The sequence below is a fragment of the Homo sapiens genome, chromosome 4 (genome assembly GCF_000001405.40).
Source record: "Homo sapiens chromosome 4, GRCh38.p14 Primary Assembly".
NCBI classification, from domain to species: Eukaryota; Metazoa; Chordata; class Mammalia; order Primates; family Hominidae; genus Homo; species Homo sapiens.
This window is the reverse complement of record NC_000004.12, coordinates 123513516-123527808: the sequence shown is the minus strand read 5'-3', so window position 1 is coordinate 123527808 and position 14293 is coordinate 123513516. Positions and strand designations below refer to the sequence as shown.

The window sequence follows — 14293 nt, the reverse complement described above, 5'->3', positions numbered from 1 at the left end:
TTACTTTGGCACTCTAAGCCAGTCTTTGTGCTTTCCCATGTGTGTGTGCTACCCAATGTGACATCTAATATGGTATTTGACCTGTTTTCAGCACCTATTGGGTAGCTTTTCGGTTTTATGAGGAATTCATGCAGAGATAACAGCCCCTTCAGTAGCATTTAGATTTTGGGGTTAGCACCCAAATTCCTATTTTATCCACAGTTTAGCTGTCCAAGGAAACTACAACTAGAAGCATGAATGTTTTATTCTTAGAATTAAAGTTGCATGGCTCAAAAAAGAACAAATTTGAAAAGGGGAAAGATTTTTCCCACTCTTTTCTAGACATTGAGGCCGCTTCCAAGGAAAATTCTAAAATGGGTGGAGTTTACTTTAACAGCCACACAGCATCCTTTCTACAACCCTGTTCCAATTTCTGAACACAGAGCGAGCCTCCTCAGCCCACTGCCTCTTTAAGGCTGCCATGCTCTTCGAGTGTTCCCTTCTCCTTCCCACTCACCAGAGCTCCTCAGGAACAGACAGGGAGTCTCACCCACCTTGCATCCCTGAGACCCACCACACCCACTGGCACGCCATAAAATGTATTTCCGTGTCTATGCTGTCCTTCAATGCTGGAAATGTCATTCACCTAGATGGAAGGGAAGGTGAGCAGATAACACTTATTAAGTCCATTTTGTACTAGAAATGGAGTTAACATTTTTAATTTACTGTCTTAGTTAACTCCCTTTTTACTTCTTATTGTGGAAATTTTTAAACATACACAAAATTAAAGATAATGACGTAATGTACCTGCCCTACCCAGTACCCAACCTCTCACAAACCATCAACCCATGTCCAAAATTGTTTAATCTGTACCCTTCACAGTGGTTATAATCTCAATCCATCTCTACTTTGGTTAGAGATGATATTTTAAAACATGATATTTCTTCTTTTCCTTCCCAGGCCAAGTCCTTTAACCTCATGACCATCCCATTTCTGAACCCATACATTTTCCAGGAACTCTCAGTTTTTCACTGAGAACAGCAAGTGTGGCAAGAATAAAGAGCACAACAGTTGCCGTGAAGGCCATCCCCACCACGTGGGTGTTTCCTGAGTGAGATGACTTGCACACACAGTGCCAGGTAGGAGGAGAGAAAAAACCCTCATTAAACAGCTATCACTGACAAGGATTCAAGATAATAGGATTCTCACAATGAAACTACCATTCAGTCATCAAAGCTGAAAGCACTGGAGGGGAAATATCTGTCACAAAGGAACTAATATCTTTAAAAGATTAGATTTATTTATGCATCTAATTTGAAGTTTATTACCTCAAAGCATCTGCTCCATGGTTACATCGTGAATCCTAGACTGGCTCAAAGGCCAAAAGTTGGTAATAATCCAAATCCATCAACAATAGAAGGATTAAAATTTGTGGTACATTCATCTTGTGAAATGTTATACAGCTACCTGCAACCAAATGGATGAATCTTACACAACATTGAGCAAAAACAGCAAATCAGAAGAATAATTCATTGTGATTTCATTGATATAAAATGTAAAAGCAGGCAAAACTAAACAATGGTAGAACAAGAGGGAAAAGGAAGGAAATGATCATCTTCGAGTTATAATGATGGTTACCGTTCTGTGGCAAGAACAAGATTGAAATTCCATAAGGATAGGTGGGAAAGGGTGGAGATTTTCAGGTGTTGGCAATGTTCTATTTCTTAAGTTGGATGGTGGTCCCATAGAAGTCCAATTTTTTTAAGCCTTTTTTTTTTCTTTTTTCTTTTTTTTTTTTTTTTTTGAGATGGTGTCTTGCACTGTCACCCAGGCTGGAGTGCAATGGCGCGATCTTAGCTCACTGCAACCTCTGCATCCTGGGTTCAAGCGATTATTCTCCCTCAGCCTCCCGAGTGGCAGGGATTATAGGCACCCACCACCATGCCCAGCTAATTTTTGTATTTTTAGTAGAGACAGGGTTTCACCATGTTGGCCAGGCTGGTCTCAAACTCCTGACCTCAAATGATCCACCCGCCTCAGCTTCCCAAAGTGCTGGGATTACAGGCGTGAGCCACCACGCCTGACCATTAATGTTTTCTTCTTTAATGTAAATATATACGTATTATGTTCTTTTATGAAAGTATTTTATATTCTACAATGTAAAATGTTTAATTTTTTAAATTGCATGATAATTTTCCCATAATTTGGTTTTATAAAGCTCTAGAGAGAAAAGGAAAAGAAGCAACTTACTAAAAATATTCCCAAGGCAAAGACAAGGAACTGTGCCTCCACTCCTTCCTTTAGCTTGTAAGTTGCTTTGGGGCCCTGGGTTGCGATTCTTAACCCACAGTGGATGTTAAATAAATATTTGATGGTGTTGAGGGCTTAAGTAATGGTTTATGTAAACATCAAGAGCTGCTGCTCAGAACATATTCTCATGGCACAATACTAAATTGACCAGAGAGATTTCACTGTGGTGTGCCTCAGACTGTAGAATATAAGGAAGTCTCATTAACTTGTCAAGTTGACAGAGTTTGGGAATTTGTTTTGTTGTTGCAAACCCACTGTTTGCAAAATGAGTATTCTCATATATGGTCAGTAGGTCTGTAAAATAGCACATGTAAGAAGGGCAATTTGGCAATACTCATTAAAAGCCTTCAAAATAATAGTCTTGACTCAGCAATTTCACTTCTAAGAATTAATCGTAAAGAAGCCATCATGGAGTTTGTATGTAAAGATTTAGCTATAAGGACATTGTTTGTAAGAGTAAAAAATGGGAAGCAACATAGTTATCTGACAACATGGGACTTGTTAAACAGATTGTGGTACACTCCAGTTGAATTCCAGGCTGGGCGCGGTGGCTCACGTCTGTAATCCCAGCACTTTGGGAGGCCTAGGCGGGCAGATCACCTGAGGTCTGGAGTTCAAGAAGAGCCTAGCCAATATGGCAAAACCTCGTCTCTGCTAAAAATACAAAAATAAGAAAAATTAGCCGGGTGTGGTGGTGCGTGCCCGTAGTCCCAGCTACTCAGGAGTCTGAGGCCTGTGATGGCTTGAACCAGGGAGCCGGAGGTTGCAATAAGCTGACGTCACACCACTGAACTCCAGCCTGGGCAACAGAACAAGACTCCGTCTCAAAAAAAAAAAAAAGAGAATTCCATGTAACCATTAAAATTGATGTTGTACAGAAATATTTTAAAACATGCAAACATGTTTGTAATATACAGTTATTTTTTAAATCAGATTACAAAGCTATGTGTATAATTTAATAGTGAGAGAGGAAGGAAAGGAGGGAGGAAGGGAGGAAAGGAAGAAAGAGGAAGGGAGAAAGGGAGGCAGGGAGGGAACCAAACCACCCCAAAACTTAGTAGCTGAAAACAACCATTTTATCTCATGTTTCTATGAGTTGCCTGGGGTTACTGGGTTCAGATGGTAGAAGACTACCATAGGGTGATCAACTCTTCCCACTTTTCCGAAAACTTTCCTGGTTTTAGCACCGAAAGTTCCGTGTCCAGGAAACCGCACTCTGTCCTGGGCAAATGGGACCATTAGTCTCAGACTAGCCGCCACTTATGTATATCCAAAATGACACTGACAGTAAGTCGTGGGATTGTGGATAAAATATATTTTCCTTTACTTCATTCATCTGCATTTTCTATATTATATCTATGTATGCTTCTGAAACAAAATACATTTTTTAACTAAAACCTCATTACTTGCCTGTAATCTCAGCACTTTGGGAGGCTGAGGTGGGTGGACCACCTGAGGTCAGGAGTTCGAGACCAGCCTGGCCAACCTGGTGAAACCCCGTCTCTACTAAAAGTACAAAAATTAGCTGGGCATGGTGGTGTACGCTTGTAATCCCAGCTACTTGGGAGACTGAGGCAGGAGAATCACTTCAACCTGAGAGACAGAGGTTGCAGTGAGCCAAGATGGCGCATCTGCACTCCAGCCTGGGTGATAGAGTGAGACTCCATCTCAAATAAATAAATAAATAAACCCTCATTACTTATAAATTCAATTATGTATAACCATTTTAGTTCAGCAGCTGACTGAAGCTTACTTTTATACCACATATAAGTAGTTGAATAATAAAAATAAAATTGTCTGGAAGATGTTTTAAAATCTCACAGTTTAGGCCAGTAGTTTCCAATCTTGTTTCCTGCCCCACCCAAATGCAGATTTGACACACTCCCATCACCAGCAGCTCACCTGGCAGTGATTTTAAACCAGGTGTGGAGGGTGGAGCACTGTAGACTCAAAAAAGACCCCAAAGTCAGTCTGATGTGTTCCCTCTCATGTCTGGTTAAGAATAATTAAAACTTTTTTTTTTTTTTTTTACAGTCAGGTTTAAAAAAAAAGTTGGGTTTTACTATTCCATGCCAAAGTTGTTCTTTCTTAATTTAAATCTATGAAATTTTGCTTGGTTTAATATGCTCACACATTCATTTCAAACCTTCATGTCCTACAATTCAAGTCCATTAAAGAATAGTGTAACGTTTCAGTCACATGGGCTGACTGCGGTAAGGGCTTCGAGTCTTTTCTATAGTCTAGCATACTTGTTACATACATTCTTCTTTCACCAGTTTGAAATTATCCTGTTTTCACTATTCATTAGTTGAGCAGCCACAGGCTAGACTTATTTCCTTTCCATAATGAATGTTCTTATAACTTTAATCAGTCCAAGTTGTTGATTATATAGTCAGCTGCAGTAATTAAGATGATAAACTTAGCTAGCATAATCCTCTTTTAGCAAACTTCAGTCATGTTTTTCTCCCTTTCGGAATTGCATGTACTCAAGTATATACACACAGGATTTTGTTTTCTGGGAACTTGCCTTTCTGCATAAAATGTTTCTGCCATAAAAGATTCCCTAATGCCTTAAGAGAAATGCAATAAGAGGTGAATCATAAACTGTGATGGAGACGGGGAGAAAGGCAGGCATAATATTCTGGTTCTACTAGTGAAATAATTGTTTTACAGTATGTGAGCAATTTGATGCTAAAGCCATAGCCTGTTCAGAATCAACTGTTTCTCTTCCTGTGCCAGCAAGTTCTCATAAGTTACTGTAAGCCAGTAATTAAAAAACTAGCAACAGAGCTCTTCCTTACTAATGAGGCCGTGTAATTCTTATTCGTGGGGCAAAGACATGAGTCTTTACATTCAATGTTATAAAATAGAATATTCTCTTCTTCACGGTTCACAAAAGAATGTCATTCCAGAGGCATTATTAGCTTCACTGGGGTTATATTCTTATTGCTGGGGAAGTAGAAAGTTAAATTAGAAAAAAAAAAGTATTTTCTTAAGTAGCATTTGATTCTCCCTTGTTGAGTTTTATTTTACATTGCCATGTCTTATGGATTTAATTTCCACTAATACAGAAAAGAGGTCCTAGCCTTCTGGCAAGGAGCAAATAGAGGAATTATATCTCTGTCCACATGGGCTTTGGCAGGACAGTCTGGAATTGCTCAGGCTTAGCCCCGCAACCTCCTAGGGTCTCTGAATCAAATCCTCTGCCATTGCTATTGGGTGTAACTAGAACTAAGCAAGAGAAAACCAATACTTTCTAAAGCAAGCAGCACTTTCTCTTTATTTCACAAAAACCTTCTGATTAGTTGTCAGTGGATCTGCCTCATCCCTTTTCAGGTGGTGATTTGACACAATGGAAAGGAGGCACGTTTGGCCGTAACACACTGAGCTGTTTTATAAAGCTTACCTCATATGCCTTTAGACTCTGTAGAACATGTGGGAATCACATGTAAGCAGGAGAAATACAGACTGTGAAGAGTGACACAAACTCACTGGAGGGACAACTAGGAACAAAGAAGAATGGCTAAAACATTGGTTTCCTTTATAAGAGACTTTCAAAAGAAGTTTTCTTTTAATTGATTAAGTTTGATATCATGAGGTCTTTGAAGACACATATATATCTGTTTTGTAGGCTCATATAATCTTAGAGTTTAAAAAGATTTTATAGGTCACCAAACTCAATATTTTACAAATATTGGTACACACCAGCCACCTAGGTGAGCTTGGTCAAAATACAGATACTCTTGAGCCAAGATATCTGTATTTTTAACAAGCTCCCCAGGTGATTCTGTGGTATCCCAACATTTGAGACTCACTCATCTAGTCTAAGTTTCTATCTTACATAGGCACCTCATAAGTTACTGATATACCATTCTCCGTTGTCTCAGGCAGACAGCTTCAAATGTGAAATAATATTGGGCTGCTGGTAAATAATAGAGGTTCACAAAGTAATGTGCACGGTAATGTATGTATATGCCTAATGGCTGCATATGCCTTTTTCCTATGACTAAACAAATAGAAAAGTATTAAATAAGTAGGAAATACATAAGTTGCTTTCAGTTTTATCTTGATTTTCTTTTTTTTTTTTTTTTGAGTCAGTCTCGCTCTGTCACCCAGGCTGAAGTGCAATGGCACAATCTTCAGCTCACTGCAACCCCCACCTCCTGGGTTCAAGCAATTCTTCTGTCTCAGCCTCCCAAGTAGCTGGGATTACAGGTGCCTGCCACCATACCTGGCTAATTTTTGTAGTTTTAGTAGAGACGGGGTTTCACCATATTGACCAGGCTGGTCTCGAACTCCTGACCTCAGGTGATCCACCCACCTCAGCCTCCCAAAGTGCTGGGATTACAGGCGTGAGCCACCATGCCTGGCCTTTATCTTGATTTTCAAAGCAAATCTGTTATTAGGATTTGCTAAGCATGCCATACTTGGATAAACAGCAAGATCCATGAAAATCATCCAACCTTTCATTTACCACACACTTCTAATCAATTTAGATATTCTAACTTATGTAAATTAGCCTAATAGAAACCTAAAAAATTGGGGACTTTTTCAGTTATTCATCTCACCTGTGAATAACTGTTAGTATTTGTTCTTTAATTCTAACACAGATTTACATTAAGTAACTGAATATAGTTCTTGCCCATGTTAATTAAACCTTGTATGAATTCTGAAAACTATTTTGATGATTACATTTTTGTTACATAAATGAACTATTGTTTGTTTTAATAAATGGGTTTTTTTCTTTTTTTTTGAGAAAGGTCTCACATTGTCACCTAGGCTGGAGTGCAGTGGCACAATCTCAGCTCACTGCATCTTTGACCTCCTTGGCTCAAGCGATCCTCCAACCTCAGCCCACCAAGTAGCTGGGACTATAGGCAGGCGCCTCCGCACCCAGCCCATTTTAATAAATGTGAATTTAAACACGTGAAACGAGAGCAGGTGTTTTGTGGTCACTACTTGCAGATCTGACAATAGTTGTTAATCATTTCAGCAGAAATCCCATCTGTGAGTCTACAAGCTGAAAGTTTTCCTTGCTCTTTATGCTATCTGGCTGCTATTCACTTGTTCCAAAACACCAGCAAACTCTTCAATGGCAATGCTGCTTTGCAGATGTTCAGAGGCTACATGTATATGTTGGGAAGAACGTGCTTATACAGGGCTGACATTTTGACTTTTTTTGATGATGCAGAAAAGATTCTTATGAATTTTTGTTGCTTTAACATGGAAGAAATACAGTAAAAATTCATGAGTCCCACACTTGGCTTTCTCATGGATTCAGTTATGTTGCAAATCAAATCATATCCCCAAGTACATAGTGGTGTAAAGTGAGCCCTCTCATTGTGACAGAGGAAGCCAATAATATGGGTGTTTTCTCATCTCTGGACAACAGGTTACAATGGGATTCCACTATCTCAGCACTAGTTGTTTTACACTAGAAGTCCTGGTTAAGCACAGGCTTAGAGCTGGGCCTGATTTTCCTGACCACTAGCTCTTTAGGTTTGCCTTCATAGCTACGCACCAGAAGACCCTATATGCCCGCAAAAGAGCAATGTATTTTTCCATGGCATTCAAATAGGACACAACATCTGTTAGCAGTAGCTCTGATTCTGTCACCACAAGCTCTTGCCTCTGTCAACCCATCTCCTGTCCTCCAGTATAACCTACTTCATGATAGCCAAGTAAAGTCAACTAGGCTTTACTAATAGCCACAGAAGAGCCTGAACAGAAAGTGCTTTCCCAGAGTGGGTGGCATGGCTTGGCTTTCGAAATGTGACCTTCTAGAAATGGCATCCAGCTTCTGGAGTATAATGTGGAATACTGACACTAAGCATGTACTTAGGGGCTATAGAGTGGGAGAGGGAAGCACTGTGAAAAATCATTAAATTAATGTGAGAGGTGTCGGTTAAGCAGAGGTTTGTACCATCCCCTAGATCATAATCCCACTCCTGGTGTTATACTTCATATTACACTGGTGAAAGATAGCTAACTTTGAAAGGAAATGTTAGGACTAAGTAATGAGGGTCTTGTCCTTTGGAACCATCTTCAGAGTTTGCCTTTGGTCTGAAATGGTAATACCCACCACCATTCATTTTAGTATTTTCCTTATTCACCTAAGATTCTTGGTTGTTTTAAAAAACAGAACCTACTGCCATAGTATAGAAATGTATTCTTATTTAGGACATTCATTTATTTGTTCATTTATACATTTCTTCATTCACCTAATCAGCAACTGCTTAATGAATACTTACCAGTTGCCACAGGCACACATACATGAGTAAGTCCTTCCAAAAGGAACACACAGTGCAGTAGAAGAGATAGACGTGCACACAGCTAATTAGAGTACAAGAAGACACAGGTCATAATCAAGATATAAAATAAATACTATTTATGGGAACACAAAGGAGGGAGCAATAATTTAGCTTGGGTGGTTAGAGAAGTTTTATTGAGATGGTAAATCTAAATATAAGCTTGATATAGTTAGATGAAGGTTATACTTAAATGTCAATAGGAAGAATGATAGAAAAGAAAATAATTCTAAGTCAAAGTAATAACATAAATAAGGACATTAAACTATAAAAATACATAGGGGTAGAGGGACAAGACAATTTAATGGGGGAAGAATAGTCTTTTCAGCAAATGGTGCTAAGACAACTGGAAATCCACATGACAAACATGAATTTGGACCCCTAACTTCACACCACACACAAAATTAACTCAAAGTGGATCATAGACCTAAATAAAAAATCTAAAACTATAAAACTCTTAGAAGAAAATTCAGGAGTAAATCCTTGTGACCTTGGGTTACACAATGATTTTTTATATATGACACCAAAAGTACAAGCTACCAAGAGACTGGTAAGTCAGGCTAAATCAAAATTAAAAATATCTGTGCTTCAAACGACACTATTGAGAAAATGAAAAGAACCCACAGAGGGCAATAAAACATTTGCAAATCATATATCCAGTAAGGACTTGTACTCACAATATGTAAAGAAGTTTTAAAACTCAATAATGAAAAGACAAATAGCCTAATTTAAAAATAGGCAAATGATTTAAATAAACATCTCTTTAAAAATATGTAAATGGATAATGAACATATGAAAAGATACTCAACATCACTAGTTATTAGGAAAATGCAAATCAAAACCACAGTAAGATGCTACTTCACACATTGAGATGGCTATAATCAAAAAGACCAACAACAAGTGTTAATAAGGATGTGGAGAAATTGGAACCCGCAAGCATTACTGGTGGGAATGTAAAATGATGCAGCTGCTCTGGAAAACAGTTTGGCAGTTTCTCAAAATGTTACACACAGTTACCATATGACCAAGCAATTCCACTCCTAGGTATATACCCAAGAGAAACAAAAACATACAGCCCCACAAAGACTTGCACACTAATGTTCATAGCAGTATGATTCATATGGAGGGGATAGGGAGAAGAAAAGCCTGGAAAATAGAACAAGACCAGATGGTAGAAAGCGCTGACCATCACGTTAAGGGATATGGTCACAGGAAAAAGATCCCTCTAGCAACAACAAGAAAAATTAATTGAAGGGGTGTAAACTGGGCATAAAACCAGTGAGCAGGCCAGGCACGCCTGTAATCCCAGCACTGTGGGAGGCCGAGGCAGGCAGATCACAAGGTCAAGAGATTGAGACCATCCTGACCAACATGGTGAAACCCCATCTCTACGAAAAATACAAAAATTAGCTGGGCGTGGTGGCACGCACCTGTAATCCCAGCTACTCAGGAGGCTGAGCCAGGAGAATCACTTGAACCCAGGAGGCAGAGGTTGCAGTGAGACGAAATTGCACCACTGTACTCCAGCCTGGTGACAGAGCGGGACTTCCTCTCAAAAAAAAAAAAAAAGTGAGAAAATGTTTCCATATTCAAGATTAAGAGATGCTAAGTATCTTAATTAGGGCATTGGCCATGGGGTGACCAAAAAAAACTGATAGACTTAGGAAATATTTTGAGATAGAAAGCCTGAAGGTGTTTCTTAAAGAGGAGTTCCAAAAAGAATCTTCAGTATTGGCAGCATCACTGAAATAAGTATAGAGCTTCCCAAAGTCACTCCTGTGGAAGAACACATTCCATTCCCTTATGTCTTCTACAGACTCTGCACCACATGTGCTGGGCTGAACGTCTGCAGCCCAGGGACGTACTCCCTGAATGTGCTCACTTCTTATGAAGTTATTTGTTTTTAAAGGCTGACCTGTATTGTTCACGTTTCTGCATAGGCTCTTGTCAGAGAAATGGAGGAAAAGCAGGTAAACAGTGGTCCAAGTGGATAAGTTTGATAGTGTTTTTTTGTTTTGTTTTGTTTTGTTTGATTGACAGTGTGGCCTAAAACTCAGCTGTCTGAAATCGTTTACCAAAATCTTCCCTAAAAGTAGGAGTGGGAGTGAACTTCCATTGCTATGGTTCTCAGCAATTAAGAAAACAACAACAACAAAAAGCTCTATTTGTGTAAAATTAATCAGATTTTAAAATTTCATAATAATGTAAACCAAGTTGTATCATCCTTATATACTATCAATAACTTTACCTGAAATAAATTGTAACTATGAGCTCATGTAAGTGGCTTGCACAAACTTAAGGCATACCTTAAATCAGATCACCTGAGCACTTATTGAGAGCCAGAGGATATGAGAAAAATGATTAACTACTCCCCTGGCAGATAGGGATCAGGGGCTAGAACTGGAAATAAATGGACTCAGAAGAGAAATCAATGAACCAAATCATCTCCCTCCTTCCATCTCCCTCCTCCTTTCATTCCTAGCCGGGCTATGGAATGAAATCTTTGCCCCAGTCGCTCATAAACTCCTTTGCTTAAATTAGAAAGTTTAGACTCTATTCCCAGCCAAAAGACACGAAGGGTTTAAAATAAACAAGGTAAAAAACAAAATATCTGTGTTTTTGATCCTATTATACAAACAAACGATGGGAAAGACTGATAATGCAGTGAACACGATGCAGACGCCCCCAAGGTTACAGGCCTCTCTTCATAATCTGAGCTTCAGGCAGTGTGCAACATCTTGTATTAGATAATCATAGGGGATTAATCATGTAAAATGCTTGAAAGGTTTGTGCAAAATTTATGGATGTTTAGAAGGCCCCACAAAATACATTTTTAGTCAAACTGAGCTGAAGATGTATTTCACTATTACCAGTTGAAAGTGTAAGAAAAATTTGTGGAAAAGGGATGGTGGCCAGCTGTTTTTCATCTCCACCAAGAGAATAGGTTGAATTCGTGTTTAAATACTAGGGTTGGACAAAAGAAAGAACTTTCCAGCCATAATATTCCATCTACTGCTAAAATGGCACATGAAAGATGTTGTCTATCTCCATTAGAGAGTTTTAAAAGACAAATATGTTAGCTTGTTAGATGGATTATCTTTGCATAGGAAGGGAAGAATTTATCAGGCATGAGAAACATGAGGCTATGAATTCTGTCCTGAGAAACTAGAGTGATTAGCTTAAAAATGTGACTGTCACTGGACATCAGCTATTGATGTGGTTTCTCCATTATCTGGTTACTCTTAAACTAGCAACTAACCAACTTCAAGATGCGAAAATTATAATTAAAAAACGTTCTGCTTTTTCAAAGATAATGTTCAGTATTGCATAATTACTCCAATTAAAACTCTTAAAGGGATTTTTCTATTAATATTAAAAATCAACATAACATTCAATACCAAAATATATTTAGGAAAATAATCATGGACAAAGCTCAGAGAACATTCTGGGCAGTGGGGGTTGAGGGGGAGTGTAACTGAGGGAGTTACTGGTACAGGAATGGATATGTAAATCAAGAGAACAAAATAGAAAACAGGAACTATATCCAACTATTTGTTAAAATTTAATATATGACAAAGTAAATTTTTCACATAAGGGTGTAGAAAGGACTTTTTTTTTTTTTTTTTTTGAGAGATACAGTCTCACTCTGTTGCCCCGGCTGGAGTGCACTGGCACAGTCAGGGCTTACTGCAGCCTCAACCTCCTGGACTCAAGCAATTCTCCCACCTCAGCCTCCCAAAATGCTGGGATTACAGATATGAGCCACCTTGTCCAGTCAGAAGGATTTTTTTAAATGATGTTGGAATAAATAGTAGGCAAGTAAAAAAAAAGTCATTTAAGATCTATATTCTATCCGATATAACAAAGTAATATTTAGATGAGTTTATACACATTCAACAAACAACATGGAGCGCCAACTGTATACTGGGTATGCAAAATGAAAGACCCAGTTTTTGTCCTCAGAGGTGCTCACAGTGGCATGGGGGAGAAAGGTAAACAGAAAATTACAAAACAGTTTGATAGGCAAGGAAGTTCAAATTGCTCCTTCCACTGAGGTTGAACACATAAGGAGAATTCGGCAGGCAATGGTAAGGTACAGCTGCATTTAAGAAGATAGATGTTTCCCACTTGATCATGGTGGATAAGCTTTTTGATGTGTTGCTGGATTCGGTTTGCCAGTATTTTATTGAGGATTTTTGCATCGATGTTCATCAGGGATCTTGGTCTAATATTCTCTTTTTTTGTTGTGTCTCTGCCAGGCTTTGGTATCAGGATGATGCTGGCCTCATAAAATGAGTTAGGGAGGATTCCCTCTTTTTCTATTGATTGGAATAGTTTCAGAAGGAATGGTAACAGCTCCTCCTTGTACCTCTGGTAGAATTCAGCTGTGAATCCATCTGGTCCTGGACTTTTTTTGGTTGGTAGGCTATTAATTATTGCCTCAATTTCAGAGCCTGTTATTGGTCTATTCAGGGATACAGCTTCTTCCTGGTTTAGTCTTGGGAGGGTGTATGTGTCCAGGAATGTACCCATTTCTTCTGGATTTTCTAGTTTATTTGCATAGAAGTGTTTATAGTATTCTCTGATGGTAGTTTGTATTTCTGTGGGATTGGTGGTGATATCCCCTTTATCATTTTTTTATTGTATCTATTTGCTTCTTCTCTCTTTTCTTCTTTATTAGTCTTGCTAGCGGTCTATCAATTTTGTTGATCTTTTCAAAAAACCAGCTCCTGGATTCATTGATTTTTTTGAAGGGTTTTTTGTGTCTCTATCTCCTTCAGTTCAGCTCTGACCTTAGTTATTTCTTGCCTTCTGCTAGCTTTTGAATGTGTTTACCCTTGCTTCTCTAGTTCTTTCAATTGTGATGTCAGGGTGTCAATTTTAGATCTTTCCTGCTTTCTCTTGTGGGCATTTAGTGCTATAAATTTCCCTCTACACACTGCCATAAATGTGTCCCAGAGATTCTGGTATGTTGTATCTTTGTTCTCATTGGTTTCAAAGAACATCTTTATTTCTGCCTTCATTTTGTTATGTACCCAGTAGTCATTCAGGAGCAGGTTGTTCAGTTTCCATGTAGTTGAGCGGTTTTGAGTGAGTTTCTTAATCCTGAGTTCTAGTTTGATTGCACTGTGGTCTGAGAGACAGTTTGTTATAATTTCTATTCTTTTACATTTGCTGAGGTGTGCTTTACTTCCAACTATGCGGTCAATTTTGGAATAAGTGCGATGTGGTACTGAGAAGAATGTATACTCTGTTGATTTGTGGTGGAGAGTTCTGTAGATGTCTATTAGGTCTGCTTGGTGCAGAGCTGAGTTCAATTCCTGGATATCCTTTTTAACATTGTCTAGTTGATCTGTCTAATGTTGACAGTGGGGTGTTAAAGTCTCCCATTATTATTGTGTGGGAGTCTAAGTCTCTTTGTAAGTCTCTAAGGACTTTATGAATCTGGGAGCTCCTGTATTGGGTGCATATATATTTAGGATAGTTAGCTCTTCTTGTTGAATTGATCCCTTTACCATTATGTAATGGCCTTCTTTGTCTCTTTTGATATTTATTGGTTTAAAGTCTGTTTTATCAGAGACTAGGATTACAACCCCTGCCTTTTTTTGTTTTCCATTTGCTTGGTAGCCTGGTTCAACATACGCAAATCAATAAATGTAATCCAGCATATAAACAGAACCAAAGACAAAAACCAC

At 38.6% G+C, this 14293-nt stretch overlaps 1 long non-coding RNA gene across 2 annotated transcripts; it reads right to left on the bottom strand.

Moving 5' to 3' along the window:
• Positions 1 to 226: 226 nt before the first annotated feature.
• On the bottom strand, positions 227 to 5890 carry LINC02435 (long intergenic non-protein coding RNA 2435). Of its 2 annotated transcripts, none has more exons than XR_001741811.2 (3): positions 5696 to 5890; positions 1308 to 1446; positions 227 to 625 (listed from the first exon to the last, which is right to left on the bottom strand). It is a non-coding gene; the product is annotated as a long intergenic non-protein coding RNA 2435 (long non-coding RNA). The 2 variants fall into 2 exon arrangements; XR_001741812.2 differs by lacking the exon at positions 5696 to 5890 and adding an exon at positions 2230 to 2864.
• Positions 5891 to 14293: the final 8403 nt, after the last annotated feature.